Source organism: Homo sapiens, chromosome 11 (assembly GCF_000001405.40).
Source record: "Homo sapiens chromosome 11, GRCh38.p14 Primary Assembly".
NCBI classification, from domain to species: Eukaryota; Metazoa; Chordata; class Mammalia; order Primates; family Hominidae; genus Homo; species Homo sapiens.
Genome location: NC_000011.10, coordinates 77,097,241 through 77,123,028, shown reverse-complemented (window position 1 = coordinate 77,123,028; position 25,788 = coordinate 77,097,241). Strand labels below are relative to the sequence as shown.

Below are 25,788 nucleotides of genomic sequence, written 5' to 3'. Positions count from 1 at the left end.
CCCCCACGGGGAAATGGGAGGGATAGTTCCCAAAGCTGAGGGTGAGGTCAGCAGAGATGACTGCTGTCCCCAGCCAGGAGATGGACCCTGCTGGGTCTCAGGACCACACCAACTAATCCAATTCACCCACCTACAGAGGGACCTTGGAGTGGCAAGAGAGCTCCCAAAGCCACACCAGGGGTCAGGGATAGACAGACAGCTAGAGCCCAGCATGCCTGGGTCCTCGTCAGAGGGTCTTCCACCTGGGCTTGTCCCCCTGAGTGGGGAAGCCTCAGGCTAGGAGCCCAGGAGGTGGCCTCTGGACCAGGGGGCTCACCTGTACAGTGATGGGCTGGCTCAGCTTCTTGCGGTAGAAGATGCCTTTCACATTGTACTCTGGTGTGGAGGTGCCCTTCTGCACAGCCGAGCGGACTTTGTCTCCCTCACACTTGATGATCACATAAGAGTTAGCCCCTAGGGAGAGGGAGTGGGAGATGGGGTGAGGGTGGGGGTGGGGGCTGTGGCAGGGCCACAGATATCTACAGGTGAGATGCCCACCCGGCTCAGTTATTCAGATGGAGAGACTGGAGCCTGACCCACCTCAGGGCCCCTTCGTTTCCAGAGACAGGCCGGCCAGCAGGGGCACACTGGCCATCTCCAGCCTCCAGAGCTTTACCCACACTGCTCCCTCTGCCCGGAGCACCTTTCTCCCTTACCCCCTTTCATCAGGCTTTGTATCTTAATACCTTCTCAGCCTAGAAAAAGGCCACTCCCTCCAGGAAGCCTTTCCTGAGGCCTCCCTCCCAGCTGGAAGCCTCCTGAGAGCAGAAGGTAAACCTTTTCCTCTCTATGTGCCCAGCATCAGGCATCACCCCAGAAATGGCCAGGCCTGCAGTGCCTCTGAGAGCAGGAGAGCTCTGAGGCTGGTATCCGTGCTGGTGGAGAGAGGCCATGGGACAACTGGCAGGAGGGCCGGGGGACTCTCCCTGGGAGAGCTCACCTGTTGGGGAGTCCTTGAGGCCAGCAGCTCCCAGGACATGTACCTGGGTCACCAGCTGGGGGTAGCCACAGAGGGAGCTCCAGCAGGTGTGTGGGGGCTCATCCAGGCGCAGCTCCCTGATATGGGGCGGCAGGGGAGAGGGGAGTGATGGAGAAGGGCCAGGAAGACAGGGGTGAAGAGGGGGTTCAGGAAGTGGGAAGGGAAGAGAAGCAGTATTTAGCCCAAACTTGATTTCATTTAGTCCTGAGCAAATCCCCATGGGCAGTCCCCAGCTCCAAGCCCTGTGGGCTTCCTGCCTTCTCTATCCCTATCAAGGGTACCCCATCCTTCCCCAGGGGAAAGGCACCTTACTGAGCACCTGCTGTGTGCCAAGCCCCCTGCTGGCGTTATGGGTGATTCCTAATCCCTGCAAAGCCCCGCAAAGGCTATTATGGTGCCCATGTCACAGCTGAGGAAGCAGCAGGCTCACCCAGGTGAAGGGCTTGCCCAAACAGCTGGAAAGCTGGGGAGCCTGGGCCGGCAGGACCCTGAGCCGTCTGACTCCACATGCCACAAGCTGCCTCCTGGCTCTGGCACGTGGGCAGAGCTCACCTGTCCTTCAGGGGACACCGAGCCTGGGCTGTGTATCACAGTGGAGGGCAGTGCGGGACGCACAGGGTCTATGCCCCAGCAAGGACTGAGAGAGCTTCAGCAGTCCACTGGAGCCCAGAGCCACCCCCATGGGACAGGAAATTGTGGTGACAAGACCCAACCCTGGAACCAGGCAGGCTGGGTGGCCCAGCCCATCTCCACCGCTGGCTGCATGACCTCAGACAACCCTTCTAACCTCGGCCCCTGAATCTCACTGGTAAAGTGCGGGAGTCAGGCCTCCCACTCAGGGATGCAGGAAGATCAAGATGAGTGAAAGCTTCTTTGTCAACTGTAGAGTGCAGTGCACATACAAGAAGCTGTTCCTAGTCATGGCCAGGGATGCTGGGACAGGGGAACAAGGGAAGAGAAGGGAAGGAGATGGGCACTGGTATCAGCCCAGAGTGGCTGGAGGCCCAGAGACACTGAGCATCTCTGAGGCTGCAGGTTCCTGGTTGGCCCAGTGTGAATGTCACTCCCACCCACACTGGCCTCAAGCCAGCCCCCAAGTACCGGCAGTTGGAGGGCACATCAGTGAAGACTCGGAGCAGGAACTCGCCAGTGTGGCCTGGCTCGAAGGTTGTGGGGATGATGACATAGCGGCCCTCGGGCTGGTCGGTGCGCAGGAAGACGCTGCGTGAGTTGATGTAGATGGAGCTGGCGGCCTTGTGCTGCAGGCTGTGCATGCGGTACTGGCGGTTCTCCTCCACCTGCAGGAGGCGGGAGGGGCTGGGCCACGCGGAGACACACCCTACAACACCCTGGCCCACCCCGCCTCCCCCTCACCACCATGGAAGGGACGATGGAATCCCTTTATATGAAATGTCCGGAACAGGCAAATCTATAATAACAGAAGCGGATTCGTGTTTGCCCAGGGCTGAAGGGAAGAGGTCAATGGGAATGGGTGGTGGTGGTTAAAGGGAGTGGGTTTCTTTTGGGGAGATGAAAATGTTCTACAGTTGATTGTGGTGATGGTTGCATAAACTCTGATCACACAAAAGTCATTAGATTGTATACTTTACATGGCTGAATTGCATGCTCTGTGAATTATATCTCAATAAAAACTATTAAAGGAGGCTGGGCGCAGTGGCTCATGCCTGTAATCCCAGCGCTTTGGGAGGCCAAGGTGGGAGGAACACTTGAAGCTGGACGTTCAAGGTCAGCATGGGCAACAAAGCGAGACCCCAGCTCTACAAAAAACTTAAAAATTAGCCAGGCATGGTGGTGTTCACCTATAGTCCCAACTACTAGGGAGACTGAGGTGGGAGGATCGTTTGAGTCCAGGAGTTTGAGACTGTAATGAGCTATGACAGCACCACTGCCCTCTGGTCTGGGTTACAGAGCAAGACCCTCTGTAAAACAAACAAACAAAAAAAATAGAGGGCAATAGGAATCCCCCTGGTAACAATGTCAGTGGGGTTTCTGACTCCAACAGCACAACCAAGTATCAGGATCTGCAGAGGTCACAGCACCTGTCCACGAAATGCCATCACCAGCTGCCAGGACCTGCCTGACAATCCTGAAAAAAGTGTTCTGGTCACACTAGTGAAGATCGTCACATGGCAAAGTCACAACAATATGTCACAAGACACTAGCATGCAATGAATGTACCAGCACAAGAGTATAAACAAAGTGCCACGGCGTGGCCAGGCACATCAGATGCCAAGGACTCAGCATGTACCCAGCCTCTGCAGGGCCCGGTGGCTTCATTCCGTTCTCAAGGTCTGACAGGCACATGGGGTCCCGCCATGCTGACTGTCACCACACACTGGGCATCACAACACGTGGAAGGCCTCAGGTTCCAGGCCAGGCGGTGCGGCCATAGGTGACCCCACCTGGCTATGCTCAAGGATGCCTCCTCCTGGTGCCCAGCAAGGCCTCCAATGCAGGAAGGCTAAGGGGCTGCAAGGGGCCCTGAGGCCTGAGGGAGGAGCAGTGGGGGCCCAGTAGATGCCCAGAGCCTCCCAGGGCCCGGCCCCAACCACCAGTAATCTTCCCCTTCCTCATCCACCAAACATCCCAGGCCTGTGGGTCTTAGGCAGAAAGAAATCAGGCTGAGAGCTCCCACAGAAGCCAAGGCTGGGCAGGCTGGGCCCTCTGTGAATATTCAAGTGGGGCCCATGCCACGGCATCCTCACAATGTCTGCCACGGCAGCCAGGGCAGCGGCAGTGACCAAGGTGTTCTAGAGCGTTCTTCCTCAGGCATGGGCAGTCCAAACTCCAGCTCCCTCCCTCTCCCCACCCACGGCAGGGGACCCGGCTGGCCTCACCTTGTAGATGTCAAAGCCAATGGCCAGGTTCTCACCCTTGCCCTCCCGGCGCGTAGACCGCTTTGGCCGCTGCTGGATGCAGATCAGGACTTCATCTTCTGGCTTCTTGACTTCGAAGATGTACTGCAGGTGTGGCCAAGGAGAGAGAGAGACACTGCAATGAGACCACACCAGGCATGGGCTGGCTGGCTCCCGGAAGCTCAGACTCCAGAGCCTGGACCAGTCACAGCACCTCTCTGCGCCTTGGTCCCTCTGCTGTGAGGTGGGCCTACCAATGCCTGCAATGGCTACCCTGCATGAAGGCTGGGGAAACTCAATGCCAGGGTGGCCACTCTGCACAGAGCCTGGCACACAGGTGGTGCTCAACAGAGGCACACCAAGCACCAGGGCTAAGCAGCGCCACGGGTCAGACTGAGGAGGCTGTGGGGAGAGGCCCCGTGGGGAAGCCCAGCCCAGCCAAGTTCCCAGAAGGGACAGAATTGTGCTGTTGTGGAAACAAGGGGCTGAGTCCCTGGCTCAGCCTCTAAGTGTCCCTGTAGCTCAGAACAAGACACCCAAATGTCCCTCAGAGCCGCGGTTTCCTCATTTTTACCATCTGCAGGTTAGATTGTGAGGCTGGGGGCTTCATGACCCCCAGATGGGACGGATGTGCCCATCTAACCCCCACTGTACAGACAGGTTTGCTGAGGCCCAAGGAAGGACAGGGATTACCCAAGGTCATGCAGGAGTCCCTGGCAGGACAGTGGCAAGGCACCCCGCAGCTGCTACAGGGCAGGGTGGGGGTTCCTGAGAACGCCCACCTGTGGGTTCTGGAAGAAGGTGTCCTTGTGGTTGATGCAGCCGCCACCGCGGTTCTGTCGCGGGTCCTCATGCAGCGTCCAGGCGCCATGCAGCCGGGCCTCCTCCCACGTCTTGTGGATGCTCAGGTGGGATGTGTTGATCACGCGGCACTTGATGATGTCCGTGAAGTACCGGCACACGTCCTCGAAGGTCATCCTGGATGTGGGGAGGGGCTGAGCAGGGTACCTCCCCCACACCTCCCCAGGCTCTTGGCCCCCCAGCCCAACAACCTAATATGTCCATATGGCCCAGAGGTGAGAGAACACAGCTGGCTTTGAGAGGGGAGCTAAGCCCACACAAGGGCACAGGCATGGCATTGCACAGACCCTTAACCTCTCTTTTGACCTGTTTCCTCACCTGTAAAATGAGGCTGAATCTAACAGCAGGTGCCCATCTCAGAGCTAGTGAAGGAATTAGGTAATGCAATCAAAGCAGGCAGTGCAACTTTCGGCTGACAGAGCACGCACTGGCAAACGCTGGCTGTTACTATTGTGAATGGTGTTAATAACTACTGTCTGCTGCCCTGTACAGTTTATAAAGCACATCTGCATCCAGGATCTTCCATGGCTGTTGAGAGGCCTGAGTAAGTGGATGGTGGGAACCCCATGGTGAGCCTGCTGCGGTGGCCAGGGTGTTGCTATGGTCACTGCACACTGTGAACGCCTCCAGGGAGCTGGTGGGGGCAGGGGGCAGTGAATTAACCGTGAACATGTAAGAGAAAGGCCTTTGGAAGAAACTCTTTCTAAAGGCAAGGAGCTCTGCCGTGTTTTTATCTGCTGACTCCTGAGCAAGACTGGCAAAGTGGCCTGGGTGGCCTCCTGCAGCAGCTGACCTGACACCTGCAGAAGGGTTCATCATTGGGTGCCAGGACCACTGCCATCTGCCCCCAGTCTGCCTGGGGGCCCTGACAGAATCCAGCACACACAGGATGCCAATACCCCTCCAGGAAGGGACTGAGTTTCCATATCAGGTTCTGCTGAAGGGTGACACTGAGCCTAGCCCACATTCAGGACTCATGCAGGCTGGATGAATGCAGGATGAACTTTTATTACTACTGGGGTTTTTCTTTTTGTTTTTGAAACAGGGTCTTGCTCTTTAGCCCAGGATGGAGTGCAGTGGTGCGATCATGGCTCACTATAAACTCAACCTCCTGGGCTCAAGCAATCCTCCCCTCTCAGCCTCTAGAGTAGCTGAGACTACAGGGGTACATCATCACACCCAGCTAATTTTTCATTTTTGTAGAGATGGGGTCCCACTATGCTGCCCAGGCTGGTCTCAAACTCCTGGACTCAAGCAATCCTTCTACCTTGACCTCCCAAAGTGCTGGGATTATAGACATGAGCCACTGTACCCAGCCAATTACTGGGCTCTTTAAGCTGAGCTGCTGTCATCTTCCCAGCTCACCCATGTACCTGCTTAGCTCCCTTCTCAAACACAGCTGTGTTCTCTCACCTCTGAGCCACGTCCTCTTCCTTGCCCACCAAGGCCTACTCTGTACCTCAAGTCTCAGCTTAGAAGCTAGTTCCTCTAGGAGCCTCTGCTACCTAATTTCAGAAATCAGGCTGCCAGAGGGCCCCTGGAGGCAGGCTGAGGGCAGGGCTTCCTGGAGAGGGGCTGGGCATAGCCCCAGTGCCCCTGGCCACACCATACTGCTGGTGCTGGACTGTGCTTCATGCCTCCTTACCCTTGCCGGGGAGATCCTGGTGGGCCCACCTCTTAGACGGCTCCCTGACCTGCATGCCAAAGGCTCGGTCTGGGTGCCACAGCGGCTCCAGGACCCCTCAGTTCGGCAGAGGGGACTGTGGGGATGAAAGGGCCTGGTACTGCCCAACTAATTTTACAGAGGAGGAAACAGGCTCTGAGATGGTGTGACTTGTCCAAGGCCACACAGCAAATTGATGATGGGGCATGCAGGAGAGGCCTGGCTCCTGACTCCCCACCTGGTGCTCCCCGCCAGGCCCGTGGGAAGCCCCCTCAGCCCCGGACGCCCAGGGCACATACACACTCACCAGAACTCACCGTCGTCCTGCACGGTCACACCCATCTTCTCCCGCTCACTCTTGCTCACTTTCTGCCACTCCTCCGAGCTGGGGTGTCAGGGCCGGGGAGGAGAAAGGGAGCTGTCTAAGAGGCAGCCCCACCAGAATCTGTCTGGCAAAGGCGAGGAGGCACGAGGGGCAGTCTTGCACCAGGCCTCCAGCGGCACGGTGTGGCCAGGGGCACTGAGGCCATGCCCAGCCCCTCTCCAGGAAGCCCTGCCTGTCTCCTCCCACAAGGGACCGTGAGCTGCCACCATGACAGGGGCTGGGAGGTCTGAAAGTAAAGCTGCAGACTGGGGGGAAGGGGGGTGCGACCCCCAGTGAAGAGGGCTCCTTCACTTAGCACCTGGGCTCCACTCCCATCTTGGCCTTACCAGGGCCATAAGCCAAGCACAGAGGAGTCCCCCATTTGCTCAGGGCTGTGGCCTCCCTCCCTGCTCCCCTCCCGCACCCACTCACCAAGCTGGTCTCTACACCCCTGATGGCCTCCAGCCCCAGGCCTTTCTTGTGCTCAATCCATCACCCCATACAACCACTGCAAAGTAATTCTCCCTTCTTCGTTCCTAGTGTCATCCTCCCCCAGATCCTTCAAGGCCCAGCCCCAGTGCCAACTCCTCCAAGAAGCCCACCCGTCCTTGTCCAAGCCCTCATGCCCTGTGCCTGCACCCCCATCCCCAGGCCTCACGTGTCACTCCAGGGCCCGTTCCACTCCCGCTCGCCCCAGGGGTTGCGCAGGCGGATCATGTCCAACTTCTCTGACTTGAAGAAGGCCAGTAGGCCGTGGCCCAGGCGCACCTTGCGCACATCAGTGACGGCGTATGCGTGGCCCTTTACCAGGCCGCACGCCAGGCGGGCCTCCATGTCAGCTGCTGTCACTGCCTGTGGAGGGACACAGTTGCTCAGAGAGGCAGGGCCACACTGGAACCCAGACCAGGGACTCAGGTGCTGGAGGGCTAGGAGGCTGCACGGGACCTACAGGATGGGATGGGAATTGCAGTCATGGGGCAGTGCTGTGTTCACAGAGCTTTAAAACCCCCATGGGCAGCAGTCTCAGTAAAGGAAGGTGCCCATAGTGGGTCAGCCCAGGGGAATGCTGGGGCCCACGTGCACTGGCTCAGCTGTTGTTAAATATTCGGGAATATTTAAATTGTTAAATATTCCAGGAATTGTTAAATATTCAGGAACATTGTTTTGTTTTTTGTTTTTTTTTTGGATGGAGTTTTGCTCTTGTTGCCCAGGCTGGAGTGCAATGGCGCGATCTTGGCTCACCACAATTTCTGCCTCCCGGGTTCAAGCAATTCTCCTGCCTCAGCCTCCCGAGTAGCTGGGATTACAGGCATGTGCCACCATGCCCGGCCAGGAATATTGTTAATAGCTGGTTGTTAAATGTGGGTAGTTGGAAATCAGCCATGGTGGGAGTATTTACACCACAGTAATTAGCAAATGCTACAAACCGGGGCTTTTTACTTTGCTGGAGGCAGTTTACCAGCACAGCACAGGGTCTGCTAAAGTTGGGTTTGAACTTGGCTTTCACTGGGCCTCAGCTTTCTCATCCAAAACACGAGCAAGTAATGAAATCAGGACCACCCTCAGATGCACAGACGTTCATAACCCAAGAGGATCAGAAAAGAAGTTTTGGTTGAACAGTGCGGGAAAGGCTTTTCACAGCCTAGAGGGTCTGGGCAGGGGGTTGCACCTTCCAACTTCTCCCCTCCCCCACGAGGCTGAGGGTCTGAATACGTAGGAGCTGACCTGAGCGTGGGATGTCACAGTTGTCTCCCATCTCAGTCAGCGAGGGTGAAGGGGAGGGGTCGCCTCTGGGGACTGCCGTGTTCTCACCTTGATGGAGGCACTGATGAGGCCGCCCCGGCTGTGCACCTTTAACATGCGCTCAAAGAGCTGGTTCCTCTTAGTCTCATCGTTGGCAAAGTCACCCTCGGTCAGGTCGATGGGCTCAGAAACACCACCCGTGAAGTCCACCAGTGCGTCTGCTGTGTTGCCTCCATCCAGGGCCTGGTAACAGCCTGCCAGTCTGGGAAGCAATGTGGAAAGACTTCCCAGCTCATGCTCCCCAGCCAGGCTGCATCCTTTACCTCATAGGGGAGGTTTTTGAAACTCAGAGGGGTCAAACAACCTGTTACAGTCACGCAGCAGGCCACGGCGGAGCCAACACTGGAACCCAGTTCTTAACACTCGGGCCAACATATAAGGCTTAAATTCCCCTAAGCCTTAGTGGCTCAATCTTAAAAAATCAGCTGTCCAAAAAAAAAAAAGCAACTCTTTTCCAAAGTGCCAACAATGGTCAGGGGGAGGGGAAGGAGTTACTGTCGGATGGGTATAGACCTCCTGCTGGGAATGATGAGAAGGTTCTGGGGATAGATAGTGGTGATGGCCCATAGCACTGTGATCATAATGAATGCCACTGAATTGTATGTTTCCATATGGTTAAAATGAGAAGCATTATGTTTTGTCTATTTTACCACAATGAAACTGTGTTTTTTCAAAAAACAAAAAACAACCAAGGCCACTGGGTCGACCTGCATCCAGGTGGTGGAGACTCAGTGGCCACCAGGGGGCTGGCTTTCCTTTCTTAGGATTGAAAGTGGAACCTGCCAATGTGTTTTCTTGGGTTTTTGATGTTGGGAGTTTTTGTCTTTCCTTTTCCTCTCTCCCCCTTTCTCTTGTTTTCTATCTCTCTCTCTCCTTGCTCCTGCCCCTACACACACATTTTTTCAGCAAGATTGACAAATGGGCCTAGCAGGAGGAACCAGAGAGTGGCTCACCTAGAGCTGGCGAGGCTGGCCTCTGACCCCACTGCCCCTCCTCCCTCCTCCCTCCTGGCCTAGGCGTATCCCTGCCCTGCAACGGCCTGCGCGAGTCACTCTTCCCCAGGGTTCCCCACAGCTCAGCAAAACTTTGCTTGTGCCCATTCTATGCTGGGCTCTGTGTTGGGCACTGGGGACACAGAAGCAGAAGGCACGGAGCAGAAGGAGGGGTCAGCAAAGACAGAATGGACAGTCAGCCAGGCAGAGGCGGATGGTGGACAAGAGGGAGGCCCAGCAGGCGGGGAAGGCAGGCACGTGGCCCACCCTGCACAACCAGGCCCCAGCTCAGTTACCACTTCCCCAACCAAGGCCCCAGGCAGGGCATGGCAGCATGAACCTTCGAGAATGGTCCTAAATGTGAGTGCTGCCTCTGCCCCCAGCTACCTACAGGATGTTGCCTGGGCCTCAGTCTTCTCCCCCTAAAATGGGAGTAACCAACATTCCTCTCCTTACAGGGCCCAGGCCTCCACCCCACCCAGCACAGGCTCAGCTGACTATGCCCTCAGGCCTGGCGGTTGAGCCTGCTGCGTGCCTGCACCAGCCCCTCACTTCTCTGTGCCTAAAGCCCTGGCTAACGGAATACCACGAGGAGCCCATCCGGTGCCACCCCCGTCTGGGCCTCCCACCCACCTGCCTGCTGCTGGCACCTACTTGGCATAGGCCTTCTCCACTAGGGCGCACCAAAACTCATTGCGGGAGTTGGAGTGGCAGTAGATGAGCTGGTTGTTGACTGTGGGCAGCCGGTCATCGATGACCACGTCCACCCATTCCCCGAAGCGCCAGAAGTGGAAGTGGAAGATGCCCGCGTAGGCGTTGGGCTTTTCGGGGTCCCATTCCTGCTCCTTCCAGTCTGGGATGACCTGGGTAGGGGGAGGGGGGATAGGATGGGGGAACACAGTGAGGGGATGTCCGGCTTCCTGAGGAAATGGGGGCGTGTGCTTCCAGCGAATCGGAATGTAAAGGAATACTGGGTTCGGATTCCAACTCTGCCACAAGCCTTCGTGAGACCCGGATGAATCCTCCCCATCTCCAGGCTCAGGTTCCCATCTCCGCGAGGCTTGGAGGCTCCCTCGGCCTCCTTCCAGCTGTTGTTCTCAGAGTGTGTGAGCTTTCCTCTTTCTCATGCCTCCCTGCAACCTTCCCCGAGACTTCCGTCCACATCTACCACCAGCTCCTGCCTAGTGACCAGCGCCACCATCCACCCATCCAGCCCACCCCAAGGCTGGCAGCCCCACTGGCTGCTTTGCTTTCCCTCCCTCCATCCAGTCAGCCCAATCTGAGCGCCTCCATTCTCCTGAAATCCATCTCCTCCTCTCCATCCTACTGGCACCACCCTGGCCCAATCCCCCATCTCCTCGCCCAGGGACAACTGTAGCAGTGTCTGCAGCTACATCTACTCTCGCCCCACATAGACCAACCCAGTCCTGTCACTTCCCTAGAAAATAAGACACAAACTCTCAATGCACTCCCCCAGCCTCATTTCTCTGCCTCCCCCACAGCAGCCCCCACCCCTGCTCCCTGCTCCAGGTTCTTCCTTCTCCTCATTACTCAGTAGACTTCCATTTGTCCTTTAGTGTCCATCCTCTTTCTCCAGGAAGCCTCCCTGACTATTCAGATTAGGCCAGGACCCCTATCTCAGTCTCATGGCCCTTGGCAGCTCTCATCTGAGATACTTACCTTTACCAAGTTATAATTAAGTAACTCTGTGACTTTGAGCTCTGATGTTACACTGGGAATGTCAGTTCTCTGGGGGCAGGGCCATATAGGTCTCAGTCACTGCTATGCACCCAGCACCTAGCCCAGGGCCTGACCCAGAGAGTATGTTTAGTAAACATGCATTGACTGAATGAATGAATTCAAAGACATTGACTGGGGACACTGAGACATTGATTTTATTACTTATGACGCATCTGGGAAATGCCTGTGACTACCATGACTTATCTCCATTTAATTATCACAATAACCTCTGAGTAGATGACTATTATCCAGCCCTACTTCACAGATGACAATACTGTGGCCCAGAGAGGGCACGTAACTCGTCCAGGGTCACCCAGCTAGAAAATACACACATGCTTTGGAGGCAGACCAACCTTGGTTTGAAGCCAGGATTCAAACCCAGATCTGTCTGCCTCTGAAAAATGAGCTCCTTGGCACTGTGGACCACTCTGCAACCAGCCCCAAGCTGGACACTGACAACCAGGTGAATCACATGGTCCCTTCCCTCAAAAGGCTCCCAGTCTGGGGAGAGGAGGAGGCACCCAGGCAAAGTGCTGAGGCTACACAGGGTGCAGGCGGGGCTATACCAGAAGGGAGTGCCAGACCCTACTCAGCAGCATCCGCAGTGCTGCTACAGGCGTCCCCCAAGCAGATGAGGACAATAGCCACAATCTGGGCAGAGAAGGGAAAACCCCTCACCCTGTCAAGTCAGGGTGAATGACCCCTGGCCCTGCTGGGCACGGGACCAAGTGGAGCTGAGCCCCATCAGGACCATAAGCAGCTCTTTCTAGAAGAAAACCACTCCAGGTATGGGGGGCACCCAGGCGGAGGAACCAGAGGCACACCAGGAGGCCGGCACTCACCTGAGTGTACAGACTTCAGCCAAAAGCTGCTCCCCACTGCATGCTCATTAAGGACACTTTTGTTTGCATCAACAAACAAAACTCTTACCATCAAAAGGGATGTTGGCAAAGGGAAATGCTCCCTAATGGGACATGTGAGACCAAGAAAATGAAAATGCTAACTGCAGCGAGAGGTACTACTGCCCTAATGGAGCCCTGTTGGGTGCCAGGCACAGGGCCAGGCTGCTCACACTAGCACCCCTGAGCCTCAGGACAGGCTTTTGAGGCAATACTACCGGAAGGTGCTGGCAGAAGGCTGCCCACAGGCTCAAGCGAGGGAGGCAGGGTTCAAACCCAGGACTTCCCAACCTCACTGTCTGGAACCCAGCAAGGGCTCAACACTGGCTGTTCCTTTCCCCCACCTCCTCACCCCCACTTTTCTGTCAACTCTGTGCCCTTTCTAAGTAAAAATGCCCTGACTCCTGGCACTCTCTCCCCACTTTGCTTTCAGGACAGACAGCTGTATCAAAAACACGTCTCATGGGAGGCCAAGGCAGGTGGATCACTTGAGGCCAGTTCGATACCAGCCTGGCCAACATGGTAAAACTCTGTCTCTACTAAAAAAGAATACAAAAATTAGCTGGGCGTGGTGGTGCGTGCCTGTAATCCTAGCCATTCAGGAGGCTGACTCATGAGAATCGCTTGAACCTGGGAGGCGGAGGTTGCAGTGAGCTGGGCAACAGAGCAAGACTCTGTCTCAAAAAAAAAAAAAAGAGCGGTTCCATACAAGGTGAGGGTTACCATTCCCACTGCACAAATGGGAAGACTGAGGTCCAGAAAGAAACAAGATCTGCCCAAGCGCACAGAGTGACAGGGAGTCCTAAGCTGAGAACACAGGCCTGGCCCATCACCTTCACCCCCTCCTTCTGCTCCTGCCCTGTTCTGAATGCTCTGGACTCCATGGCTGGGAGGAAGGGCAGCCCTCACAGGCTGCTAGGACCTCGGGAGGATCATTAGTCAAACTCGAGGCTTGGCTCTGAGCCCTCTGTGGCTCAAGAAGCTGCTAATGAGGCTCCAGGGCCTGGAGACCCAGAGTCTGGGATCCCCAAGGGCCTCCATTTCCCCTCCTGCTTCACCGCCCCTGCACCTGGCACGGGGTGGGCCCCAAGCCAGCCTTCTCACCCCTCAGCTGCTCTGCTGTCAGCCAGGATGCTGAGCAGGAGGGAGACTGTCTAAATAGATGCGCTCGCACACCAAAAACCCTCCCACGCCACGCCGGAAACCAAGGAAGCCAGCACAGACTCCCGGGGCCATGTCAAAGGATTCAGGAACCAACCTGAAGAGGTTCCTGATGGCCAAAGATGGGCTAATTTGAGCATCAATAAGGGCAAAAACAGCAATGGATTAAAACACATCAAATATGTTCCAATTCATGAGATCAGAATGATACTTACAAAAACAATTAGTCACTATCGGAGGTGGGTAGGGAATCAACTCATTTTTTTTTTAAACTGGAAAATTACAGGAAATTTATCCTGTCTCTGTAGACAAACTGTACCAGATGGTAACCAAATAGTAGATGGAGGGAAGTCTTGAACTGGAAGAGACTTCCTGCTCATAAATGAGAAAGGACTGATGATATTAGACCACCAGCATTTTACAATCACTGAAGAATGAATGAATTTAGGCAGTGGTCACTGATGGTTTCTAACATCACAAAAAAGAAAGATAACTAGCCATGATGTGCCCCCGAATGAAGTACACAACATCTTCCATGATGCAGCTGTGACAAAGAAAGAAAAAAATTGTTCCTAAACCGTATGAGCTTCTGGAGCTAAGTCCCAGGTTACAGAAACGCAGGGGACAGAGAACATGTCAAACACCACCAAAAAGACACAGTCAACAAAACCCACACCATGGGAAACCCTACAGGACAAACGGCCCCATTTCTTTGATAGATAATTTACTAGGAAAAAATAAAAGATGAAAGAGCAATCAACCAATTGCAATTATGGACTTCTGTTTGGATCTCATTCAAACAAACCGTAAAACCTATGCATATTTATAGCACAAATTAGAAATTAGAACAATTACTGGATATTTGATGATATTAAGAGATTATTTTATAAGTTGGTATTATGGTTTTTTTTTTTTGAGCCCTTATCTTTCAGAGATGCATCCGGAAATATTTACAGATGAAATGAGATGCTGTCTGGGCAAAGTGCAGGGGTGTGTAGAGGAAATAAGACTAGCCATAGGCTGGCAAGTGTCAAAGTGAAGGGATGGGTGCGAGGAGTCCATCAGGCTGTGCTCGCTACCCTCTCGCTGTCTACAGTAGAAATTCCCCATCACCACGGACACCAGCCACCTGGCCCGGCAGTCCACGCTCTCAGCCTCATCCCTCCAACGCTCCCTCCTTCGGGTCCCATCTACCACAACCACCAAACACCCATGCCACTTCAAGCCACCTCCCCCACGCACATGTGGCTCCCTCTGCCTCCTTCCCTTGTCTCTTAGGGGCCAGCTGAGCAGCAGCTTTGAGGCACCTTCTGCTGAGCACCCCCCCAACAGTCAGGCAGCCCCTTTCCTGGCACCCCAGCATGGCTCTCTTTTCCCTGCCCACTGGGAGGAGCTCCTTGGGGACAGGGGCCAAGTCTGACTAATTCTCAGATCTCCAGCACCCAGCACAGGGCCTGGCCCAGCTCCAAAGCTGGCTGGAGTCTTCCTGGGAGGAAAATCCCCCACACTGGTCACAGGGCAGCCTTGACCGGCTGGTGACCTGTACACACTACTTAATACCACATTACCCACTGCGGTGCATGGCAGTGACTTCACTTTCAACGGGGCCACCTCTGAGTCTCAGTCTCCTCATCTACCTACACTACCTCCAGGGCTGTTATGAGAACTAAAGGAGACAGCCTTGGAGCTCTTTCATAAACTGTAGAGAGCTGTGCACACATGAGGGGTCATCTGTGTTGGTGTACACATGTGTGCCTTCACACAACAGTCTGAAAACCTCAGGGCTGGGAGGGAACTGAGATGACCTGGTCAACCTCCTTCCCAAGAGGAGAAAGGAGAAGCTCCCCATCACCTACTGCATGCTTACGAGGCTTTACTGACTTGGGCTGACCTGGCAGCAAGGCAAGGACTGGCAGGATCTGCCGCCTCCCTGATAACCCCCTGGGATGTGATCCACCAACGGCCACCCACGGCAGAATGGGCCCAGAAACCTCCGGGTCCCACCCATGGGTGCACCACAGCATCCCTGGCTCCTGGATTGTCCCTGGAGACTCCCACCTAGACCCAAGTGGCTGCTCTTAAATCTTCCCCGGGTAGTGGCAGACAGGACTCTCTGCCCAGCTGTGCGACAGAGTGGAGAAGGAGGGGGTCGGCAGCCCAGGGAGGGAAGCTGCTCAGGATCTGCCTGCAAGTGTGTGCGTGTGTGGAGGTGGTGTGTGCAGATGTGGGGCACAGGCAGGGAGCTTTTCACATTTCTGCCTGGGACCCCAGAGGGCCAGTGCGGAGCGTTTCTGAGCCACGCCGCCAGGGCTGTGGAATGGGGGCTACAGGGAGGTTTCCTGTATAACCCAAGCTGGGTAAGGTAAGCCACGGGCCTTTGTGAGTCCTCAAAACTAGTGGGTCCCTGGTCCTGAGTATCTGAGATTCCTCAGCTCTCAGCTTCTGATTCCAAGACTCTCAAACTCCCCGTTTCAGATGCCATGACTGCAGGAGGGCAGGAAAGTGGTGGGCACCCCCTGCCTTCTTGGGAGAGCAGAGCCCTGCTGCTCTCCACCGGAGACCAGGGTGTCGATGCACCACAGAGTGGCCACGGCAGGTCCTGTTCATGGGGTGGCTGAGACCGGGCAGGGACCCCCAGCCTTGGGGGAGTCCCCCTTCCCCCGGGCCTCCAGCTCCCCAGCAATCATGTGAAGGCTAATGGTCTCTGCTGGGCCGCTCTGAGGTGGCGATGGTGACGGAGGAGGACACACTCCCCCATGGCCGCTCTCTCGGACCACAGAGCCAGGCCAGGTTCCTGCCCACCCCTCCGCCCTGCGCCTGCTGCCATCGGCACTGGCCTAGGATGCCTCAGGCAACTCACTTCAGCTCTCCACAGGTTCTCCTGTACCCCCACCCACGGATAACTGAGAGAGGAGACCGTGTGTCTATGGTGATGGGGCAGTAACCATGGGCAAACTCAGGGAGGGAGGGTGACTGTGTGCAGGCTCCGGGAAGCTCGAGCACTTGGTGGACACTCGCCCATTTCACCCTCACAACAGCCTCGAGAGAGGTGCCATTGCTGGCCCCAACTCACAGATGAGGAACAAGCTCAGAGGTTGCCCAAGGCCATCCAGCTGGCAGGGCGGGGCTGGCTAGGTCGCTCACCACACTAGCTGCCTCTCTGGGCACAGAGCTCAGGGAAAGGCAGGTTTCTTTCCCTGTGGTTTCCAGGGAAAATGGGTCATTTGCCATTCCTGCACTCTGGGGATAGAGCCAGGCTTCTACTGCTGTCCTGAGGGTGGGAGGCTGGATTCCTCTGTCTCGGGCAACTCCAGGAGTGGCTGGAAGGCAAGCTTGGGGAGGGGGTGTCAGGGAGGCAGAGACCCCTGAGAGACCGGGGGTGGGGGTTGGGTGCGGGGCTGGGGAAGGGTTCTGCGCATGCTGTGAGGGGTGTGTGAAAGGGAAACCAGGGGGCAGCAGCTACTCTGAGGCGGGCATGAAAGGGGCTGTGTGACCCAGGAGAGTGGTGGGGTTGGATTTTGAAGCAGGGCTCATTCCAAAACAAAACCACTGGTGAGACCCCCAAGGCAGGGCTTGACTTGGTCTCCAGGAAAGAAGCCAGCCCAACCCGAGCCTGGGTTCTCAGGTGGGTGGGGCCCATCTCCCCGGTCCATCCCAGGGACCAGTGTCATGGGGCCAAAGGTCCACAGGCCAAGAGCCTGGCCCACCCACACCTGCTTCCAGCCCCTCCACGCCCTCTGTGACCTGGGCAGGAGGCCGCCTCCTCTGGGCCTCAGTTGTCCCTGTCCAAAAATGAGTGCGCTTCAGAGTGGTGATGAGGGAACAGAGCTGTGAGGAAGGATCAAGTGAGGCACTGAAGTCACGTGGCCTTGGGGCTACATCTTGCCCATGTCAGTCTAGCCCAGCACAGGTTTGACAATTCCTGGAGGGTGGGGCTGGAAGGACCTTCACAGAACCAAGCTGTTCACTCTGGAAGGCCTGAGTCTGGGAGGGGGTTGGGAGCTGCCTGAGGACACACAGCACATCAGTGACAGAAGCCAGACTAAACCCAGGCACAGGCCGGACCTCACCCCACCTCTCAAACTCTGCCCTTCCATCCACCCCCTGCCCAGTGGCCCTGCAAGGCAGGGAGACTCGAGATTGCACCTGGTTTGGTGCCTTCCTACCCCAAGCCCTCGGCGGCGCCCAGATGGCACCTCCCTCAGCACAGCTCTCTGCACACCCAACACGGAGGCAGCTCTGGGGCTACCAGAGAAACAGTCAGGGCCGGAGGCTCCTGGCCAGCCTCAGGAGATTCGGTGAAGCCCCTGATTATTCCAGGCCTCCTCCTTGGAAGGTGGCAAGGGCTGGGGGAGTGTGGGAAGTGGCCAGGGAGCAAGTGCTCGGGGCCGTGAGGGATTGTGAAAGGGATGGGGGCTGATGGCGAGACACTGCACACCACCGAGGCCAGGGCACAGGCTTTATTGGGGACCTGCAGCGGGCACAGCAGAGGGACTCAGGCCCCGGGACAGATAGGCTGGGGAGACAGGCAGTCGGGACTAAGAGGGTCCCCAGAGCTGCAGGAAGAGCTCAAGCAGAAGGGCAGGGCCACTGCACACGGTTCTGGCCTCCCCTCGTGCTCAGCAGGGCAGGCAATGGCCGAGACTTCTTCAAGCCTGTCCCGGAATGGGCCCCAGAGCTGTGAGTCAGAAAGGACCAGTGCTCAGCCCACAGACACTCTCCCACTCTCTCACCCACAGAATCTCAGCTCCAGCATGCTGCTCCAGCCTGCACACCTCCGAGGTGGGGCTCACCCTCCCGGCAGCCCCAGCCACAGGGGATGGCCCTGACCCTCTGGCCCTCAGTGCATCTGTTCCAGAGCCGCAAGTTCCTTGACAGCTTTGCTTCATGAGGGGAAATGTCTTGGACACATCCCTGACTGGCTGAGGACAAAACACAGGGCTGGCCTTAAGTCAGGGTGCTGGGGACAGTGGCTTAGCTGTACTTGGCTGATGTTAGGTGCAGGTCAGGCACTCCCCCAAAAGGGGGGGCTCTCTGGGACTGCGCAATGCGAAGGGGAATGAGGCTAAGAGTCAGAACTGAATCTGATGAAAATTGTGCCTCAGTTTCCCCATCTGTTTGGTGAGTGAGTTGCATCCAATGACCCCAGAGGTTACCATTCTGCCGTCACACCACTGCCGCCTGCAGCCCACTTGGGACTATCAGCCGTCGTAACTGCCCACCACGCCTTCGCCCTGCCCCCCTCAGCTGCATTGAAGAAGCCCAAGAAATGCCAACAGATGCTATGTCAGGACGAAGCACTTGCCTTCCCTGACCTGCAAGCTCTAAAGAGCCTGACTCCCCAGCAGGGGATACCTGAGGCCCTGGAGAATCCACTCTCTCCAGCTCCAACTTCCCTCAAGGCAAAGGGAACCCCCTTTACTAATCCACTCCCTGTTTCACTATCTGAACTGCAGTCTCCTAGCTCAGCAAGCCCCCAGGCCAAGGTCATCCGGACCAGGCCCCTGTTAAGAGCCATCCTTGAACCAGCAGCAATGATGAACAGATAATCTAAAACTGCACTTGTTCCTAGGGTAGGAATAGACCTCTAGAATACATCCATATGAATACAGCACACTCTGTCTCATGGATATGTGTGCGTAGAGACAGATCTCTGTGTAACCTCCCCCTTCACTTCTCCACCCTGAAGTCAGGCCCAGAAGAGCCACAGCTGGGCCTACACAGCCTCCAGGGTGCCAGCCACTCTCCACTGCCCAAATCCACCCCTGCAGCAACCCTGCCCCATATCCTGAGGGTTGTCGACGTGTTATGGGACCAGCAGCCCAGACACAGGCTCCGGCAAAGGGCACCAAGGCCAGGGAGCAGTGAATGCCGGCTTGCTGGACTCCCCGTGGAGACGCCCCATCATCTCTGTCTCCCTGACTCTGGAGGAAGTGGATGCTGGGTTTTTCAATCTCTGTCTCTGTGTCTCTCTTGGTCTTTCTCAGTCTCTCTCTCCCACAATGAAGCAGAGAGAAGGCAGATGGCCCTGGCCTCACTGTCCATGCACACTGGCCCCTAGTAGGCCTCTATCGTCTATAGCAATGCAGCAGCCAGTCCAGCTTCTAGGCTATGGAGCCTCAGAATCTTCTTCCTGTGAGCTGGAGTGCTGGCCCCAGGGAGAAGCAGAGGAGGAAAGGTGTGGGACTCAGGGGGCCTCTGGGCAAGCAGAGGACAGGCTGAGCAGCGAGAATAATGGCCCCAAAAATACAGGGGGGAAAGTGGCAGGGGCAGGGGAGAGCACAGGTGGGCTAGAGGAGAGCAGCAGCTGGCAGCTGCTGTCAGAGCTGGTTAAAAACCACGGAGGCCTTGAGGTTGGCGGGCTCCACACCCTCGCCAAAGGTGACGAGGAAGTACATGACCTTGCGGATCTTGGCCAGGTCCGACAGGCGCTCCCCAAACTCCAGGGCGTCGGCCTCATTCCAATCTATGGCATCCGAGTCCTCCTTGCGCCAGAAGATGGCAGTGGGGTCCAGCAGCTGGCGTGTCATGAGGTTGGTGAGGTCAGGCGTCCAGTTCTGCGAGGTGCCTGTGATGGTGACCTTGCCCGGCTTGTCCAGCACGACATTCCAGCGCTCGAACTGTAGCCGCTGCTGCTGGGTGAAGTTGAGGCGGTACACAGACTCCGCTGGCTGCAGCAGCTTCTCCCCATCCTGGCGCTTCTCCCCGCGCTGCTTCAGGCTCTCCACGCGTAGCCGCATCTGCCTGGTCAGGCCCTGGTCCAGGACCAGCGGCATGTCCAGCTGCGGCTGCTGCGGCCTGTCCTCCGCCATGGCCCAAGTGCTGCTGCCACCAACGCCAAGGACCCAAGTGGGCTGGAGCCTGGGGCCGTGGAGAGAAGAGGCCACCAAAGGGGGGCCCCACCTACTTTCTGCCCTTCCCTCTTCCCCTCCCTTTGCCACTGGCTCTTCCCAGCCCCACTCAGTTCTCAAAATGGGGTGTGTGTCAGGGGTGGGAGTCCCCATCTGCCTCCACTCCAGTCCCCGCAGAAGCGATAATGCAGGCCCTGCAGGCAGGCGGAAGGTGGCAGGTTCCTTGGGGACCAGGTCGCTGATGTCAATTGCTGTGGCAACCGCCCTGACTACCAGGGCTGGGCTGGGTGCTGGCTTGTTTGTGAAGATGAGAGCACTTCGTAAGTGCACTGATGGGGAGGGTGGTGGGGACCACTCCTCACTGGAGGTACACAGGAGAAGATGCAAGACCCGCAGGAGCAGGTGGAGAAGGCAGGACCAGAGAGGGCTTGGTGATTGGAGATCTGAAGTCACCTAAGTTAAACCTTGGAGCTACCCCTGACGCCCGCCTCCCTCTCACTCCTCCACACCCAATCACCAAAGCCTGTCGATTCTGCTTCCCAAACACCCCGGGACCCTTCCCCTCCAGTCCCATTGACAGGATCTCAGCCCAGCTACCGTATCTCTCACCCAGACCCGTGGTTCTCAAGACTTGAGTGAGCATCAGACTCACTCTCAGGACTTAACACACAGATTGCTGGACCCCCTCCCAGAACTCCTGGTTTATCAGGGCTCTGTGGGCCTGAGAATCTGCATTCCTAACCACCTCCCAGGTGACATGCTGCTGGGCCAGGGACTGTGCCTTGAGCATTACTGACCCGGATGACACTGATGGCTGGCTGTGCCGCAGCCCTGCACCATGGCCACAACAGGACAAGGCTTCACTTCTACCCAAATCCCACCACTTACTCCACCTGAATTAATCCTCAGTTTCCCCCAGGGGCCGAGGAAGAATCTGGCAAATGTTTATATCCCCAGGGCCCGGGGCGGAACCAGAAGCTCAGCCTTTATACTGGGGAAATGAAAGAACTGGAGTGTGAGTGGAGCCGGAGTTGGGGAGAGAGTGGGGATGGGAGTTGGGGAGCGGCCGTCGCCACAACACGCCACACACAGAAAAGAGGACAGAGTCAAGGCCAAGGTATCACAACGGAAAACAATCTGAAGGGTCTAGTGGACCACAAGCACGGTCAATTGTGAGATGGTGGCTAATCAATCAGTGGGATCCTGGGCTACCTGAACAGCAGAGGGGCACCAAGGGAGACAGAATACCCGGTCCTGTTAAAACCACACTGCAAGCCCTGGGGTCAGTTCTGGGGGTCATTGGCAGAAATTCCCCCAAGGGTATTTGAGAGAACCATACAGCTAGATGTCAAACTGCCTGATCCTCACAGAACCTTTTGCTTTGTAGCTGGAGGGGCAGGGGAGAGGGGAACAACTTGGCTAAGGAACTACCATGGGAGGCTTCCCTTTCCTCCACATGGGGGAGCTGTTTCTAACCTTCCCAGCACCACATTCTGCTTTTTATTTGTTGAGTTGCTCAGTTTTTGCCTGTGACACACAGTCCTGAGAGGGTAGGAAGTGTGTCTTGTCATTACTCTAGGCCAGCAACCAGAACGGGGCCTGCCACACAGAGGCCTCAGAAATGCTTGTTGAATGAATGAACGAATGATCGAATGAATGAATGAATGAACGGATGAATGAGTGAATGACACTGACAAGGGACAGGTGATGTGATGGACCACGGGACACAAGCCCAAGGCCAAGAGGAAGGTGGGCAGGTGGGGAGACAGTACACAGGTACTGGCCAGGGCCAAAATGAAGTGAGCAAGATGGCTGGAAGGTGAGGTCAGAGAGACTGGGCCTTTGGCTGAAGACCTCCAGGGAGAGCAGTTCCGGGCCCGGGCTGTGGCATGGCAGCAGGTGACTGAGGCGGCTGAAGGTGAAGGCTGATAGAAAGGAGATGGAGAACTAAGACAAGGGTAAAAGGGCAAAGCGAGAGGGCAGGACGTTAGCCACATGGACACAGTAAAGCCTGGGACACAGCAGTTCTTGGGGTAGAATGGGCTGGAAAATGGCAGGAACCAAGCCCTTTGTGCCCAGGTGACTGGCCAGGGCAGCTGGCTGGTGGAGACAGCAACACAGTGGGCTGAGGGTGGGAGTCCAGTGAAGGAGCCAAGTGCTTGTATGGGGACGCTGTGGTCCGGGCAGCACTGGGAAGGAGGATCCCCTATTTCTGGATCCTGAGGGATGGGATGAGGTGGGTGTGATCAACTTCTACTGATGAGGATTTAGGGGCACAAGACCCCTGGGGAGGGTCTGAGCAGAGGGGCACCGACCTTCTGGAGGCCGAAGGTGGGGGGCAGTTGTGACGGGAGCTTGAGTCTCACAGACTGGGCGGGAGGGACGAGCGGTGGGAGCCAAGGGAAGGCCTGGGGGGAAAAGGAATGGAAGAGGGAGGGGAGGAGGCAGAGGGGGTGGACTGAGGCTTGTGGGCAAGGGAGCAGGCAGGATGCAGGAGGCTGCAGCTGGGGACAGGGCCCACTGATGTCCACAGACCTCTGCTCAGCCATCGGACACCTTGGGAGGACCCACCCAAGGCTGGATGTAGCAATGAATACAGAGGAGAAAAGCAAGCTCTAAACTTGCAGATGTAATTGCAAAAATGCATATAAAAAAACAAAACAAGGCTGGGCACAGTGGCTCACGCCTGTAATCCCAGCACCTTGGGAGGCCGAGGCGGGTGGATCACCTGAGGTCAAGAGTTTGAGACCAGCCTGGCCAACGTGGTGAAACCCCATCTCTACTAAAAATACAAAAATTAGCCGGGTATGGTGGCAGGCGCCTGTAATCCCAGCTACTCAGGAGGCTGAGGCAGGAAAATCACTTGAACCCGGGAGGTGGAGGTTACGGTGAGCCGTGATCGCACCATTGCACTCTAGCCTGGGTGACAAGAGCGAAACTCCAACTCAAAAAAAAACCAAAACAAGCAAAATCCTCTTTAACACCAAGTGGAAAAAAAACTAGAAGGAACTCCCTCTCCCTCTCCCTCTCCCTCTCCGTCTCCCTCTCCGTCTCCCTCTCCCTCTCCCTCTCCGTCTCCCTCTCCCTCTCCCCACGGTCTCCCTCTCATGTGGAGCCGAAGCTGGACTGTACTGCTGCCATCTCGGCTCACTGCAACCTCCCTGCCTGATTCTCCTGCCTCAGCCTGCCAAGTGCCTGCGATTGCAGGCACGCGCCACCACGCCTGACTGGTTTTGGTGGAGACGGGGTTTCGCTGTGTTGGCCGGGCCGGTCTCCAGCCCCTAACCGCGAGTGATCCGCCAGCCTTGGCCTCCCGAGGTGCCGGGATTGCAGACGGAGTCTCGTTCACTCAGTGCTCAATGGTGCCCAGGCTGGAGTGCAGTGGCGTGATCTCGGCTCACTACAACCTACACCTCCCAGCCGCCTGCCTTGGCCTCCCAAAGTGCCGAGATTGCAGCCTCTGCCCGGCCGCCACCCCGTCTGGGAAGTGAGGAGTGTCTCTGCCTGGCCGCCCATCGTCTGGGATGTGAGGAGCCCCTCTGCCTGGCTGCCCAGTCTGGAAAGTGAGGAGCGTCTCCGCCCGGCCGCCATCCCATCTAGGAAGTGAGGAGCGCCTCTTCCCAGCCGCCATCACATCTAGGAAGTGAGGAGCGTCTCTGCCCGGCCGCCCATCGTCTGAGATGTGGGGAGCGCCTCTGCCCCGCCGCCCCATCTGGGATGTGAGGAGCGCCTCTGCCCGGCCGAGACCCCGTCTGGGAGGTGAGGAGCGTCTCTGCCCGGCCGCCCCGTCTGAGAAGTGAGGAGACCCTCTGCCTGGCAACCACCCCGTCTGAGAAGTGAGGAGCCCCTCCGCCCGGCAGCCGCCCCGTCTGAGAAGTGAGGAGCCTCTCCGCCCGGCAGCCACCCCATCTGGGAAGTGAGGAGCGTCTCCGCCCAGCAGCCACCCCGTCCGGGAGGGAGGTGGGGGGGGTCAGCCCCCCGCCCGGCCAGCCGCCCCATCCGGGAGGGAGGTGGGGGGTCAGCCCCCCCGCCCGGCCAGCCGTGCCATCCGGGAGGGAGGTGGGGGGGGTCACCCCTCCGCCTGGCCAGCCGCCCCGTCCGGGAGGGAGGTGGGGGGGTCAGCCCTCCGCCCGGCCAGCCGCCCCGTCTGGGAGGTGAGGGGCGCCTCTGCCCGGCCGCCCCTACTGGGAAGTGAGGAGCCCCTCTGCCCGGCCAGCCGCCCCGTCCGGGAGGGAGGTGGGGGGGTCAGCCCCCCGCCCGGCCAGCCGCCCTGTCCGGGAGGGAGGTGGGGGGGTCAGCCCTCCGCCTGGCCAGCCGCCCCGTCTGGGAGGTGAGGGGCGCCTCTGCCCGGCCGCCCCTACTGGGAAGTGAGGAGCCCCTCTGCCCGGCCAGCCGCCCGGTCCGGGAGGGAGGTGGGGGGGTCAGCCCCCCGCCCGGCCAGCTGCCCCGTCCCGGAGGGAGGTGGGGGGGTCAGCCCCCCGCCCGGCCAGCTGCCCCGTCCGGGAGGGAGGTGGGGGGGTCAGCCCCCCGCCCGGCCAGACGCCCCGTCCGGGAGGGAGGTGGGGGGGGTCAGCCCCCCTGCCCGGCCAGCCGCCCCGTCCGGGAGGTGAGGGACGCCTCTGCCCGGCCGCCCCTACTGGGAAGTGAGGAGCCCCTCTGCCCAGCCAGCCGCCCCGTCCGGGAGGGAGGTGGGGGGGTCAGCCCCCCGCCCGGCCAGCCGCCCCGTCCGGGAGGTGAGGGGCGCCTCTGCCCGGCCGCCCCTACTGGGAAGTGAGGAGCCCCTCTGCCCGGCCACCACCCCGTCTGGGAGGTGTGCCCAGCAGCTCATTGAGAACGGGCCAGGATGACAATGGCGGCTTTGTGGAATAGAAAGGCGGGAAAGGTGGGGAAAAGATTGAGAAATCGGATGGTTGCCGTGTCTGTGTAGAAAGAAGTAGACATGGGAGACTTTTCATTTTGTTCTGCACTAAGAAAGATTCTTCTGCCTTGGGATCCTGTTGATCTGTGACCTTACCCCCAACCCTGTGCTCTCTGAAACATGTGCTGTGTCCACTCAGGGTTAAATGGATTAAGGGCGGTACAAGATGTGCTTTGTTAAACAGATGCTTGAAGGCAGCATGCTCGTTAAGAGTCATCACCAATCCCTAATCTCAAGTAATCAGGGACACAAACACTGCGGAAGGCCGCAGGGTCCTCTGCCTAGGAAAACCAGAGACCTTTGTTCACTTGTTTATCTGCTGACCTTCCCTCCACTATTGTCCCATGACCCTGCCAAATCCCCCTCTGTGAGAAACACCCAAGAATTATCAATAAAAAAAAAAAAAAAAAAAAAAAAACTAGAAGGAAACACAGGAAACCCCTTAACACTGATCGTGTCTGATGAATGAAAGCCTTAAGTGACTTTGTACATCCTTGTACTTTTTCAAGCCTTTCGTCCCCAGTACCTACTATGGTTCTCAGGGCATAGCTGGTGCTCCATCCATGTGCACTAAGGGAACTGCTTGATAACTAAAGAGCAGGAACTGCTAATATAACCCGGTCAGGGACATAGTGGGAGGCA

General features: G+C 57.2%; 2 protein-coding genes across 8 annotated transcripts in view, besides 3 other annotated features; both read right to left on the bottom strand.

Moving 5' to 3' along the window:
* The window catches only part of CAPN5 (calpain 5), a 59,185-nt gene that overhangs the window by 3,127 nt on the left and 30,270 nt on the right, over positions 1 to 25,788 (bottom strand). For 6 of the 7 annotated variants that reach the window (NM_001425322.1, XM_011545225.1, NM_001425321.1 and 3 more), the window contains 9 exons: positions 10,232 to 10,440; positions 8,595 to 8,787; positions 7,441 to 7,634; positions 6,726 to 6,803; positions 4,677 to 4,872; positions 3,877 to 3,999; positions 2,120 to 2,316; positions 980 to 1,095; positions 317 to 453 (listed from right to left, as the gene is read on the bottom strand). In NM_001425322.1, the coding sequence (NP_001412251.1) occupies positions 317 to 453; positions 980 to 1,095; positions 2,120 to 2,316; positions 3,877 to 3,999; positions 4,677 to 4,872; positions 6,726 to 6,803; positions 7,441 to 7,634; positions 8,595 to 8,787; positions 10,232 to 10,440 (1,443 nt within the window). Of the gene's footprint in view, positions 1 to 316; positions 454 to 979; positions 1,096 to 2,119; positions 2,317 to 3,876; positions 4,031 to 4,676; positions 4,873 to 6,725; positions 6,804 to 7,440; positions 7,635 to 8,594; positions 8,788 to 10,231; positions 10,441 to 25,788 lie in introns of all 7 variants that reach the window. The other variant, NR_189161.1, reaches the window with a different exon arrangement.
* Positions 8,121 to 8,714: an enhancer, noted in NCBI's record as "H3K27ac-H3K4me1 hESC enhancer chr11:76825361-76825954 (GRCh37/hg19 assembly coordinates)". NCBI's record gives its function as "activates a minimal SCP1, AML or CMV promoter by ChIP-STARR-seq in primed H9 embryonic stem cells {active_cell/tissue: H9 hESC(primed)}" and the evidence as "EXISTENCE:reporter gene assay evidence [ECO:0000049][PMID:30033119]".
* Positions 8,715 to 9,310: an enhancer, noted in NCBI's record as "H3K27ac-H3K4me1 hESC enhancer chr11:76824765-76825360 (GRCh37/hg19 assembly coordinates)". NCBI's record gives its function as "activates a minimal SCP1, AML or CMV promoter by ChIP-STARR-seq in primed H9 embryonic stem cells {active_cell/tissue: H9 hESC(primed)}" and the evidence as "EXISTENCE:reporter gene assay evidence [ECO:0000049][PMID:30033119]".
* Positions 9,311 to 9,905: an enhancer, noted in NCBI's record as "H3K4me1 hESC enhancer chr11:76824170-76824764 (GRCh37/hg19 assembly coordinates)". NCBI's record gives its function as "activates a minimal SCP1, AML or CMV promoter by ChIP-STARR-seq in primed H9 embryonic stem cells {active_cell/tissue: H9 hESC(primed)}" and the evidence as "EXISTENCE:reporter gene assay evidence [ECO:0000049][PMID:30033119]".
* OMP (olfactory marker protein) lies at positions 19,698 to 20,189 on the bottom strand. Its single transcript, NM_006189.1, has one exon. It carries the CDS (start codon positions 20,187 to 20,189, stop codon positions 19,698 to 19,700), a length of 492 nt encoding a protein of 163 aa, NP_006180.1.

Bases quoted from the DNA above. Each gene is read 5' to 3' on its own strand.
- OMP (NM_006189.1), bottom strand. From the start codon at position 20,189: ATGGCGGAGGACAGGCCGCAGCAGCCGCAGCTGGACATGCCGCTGGTC.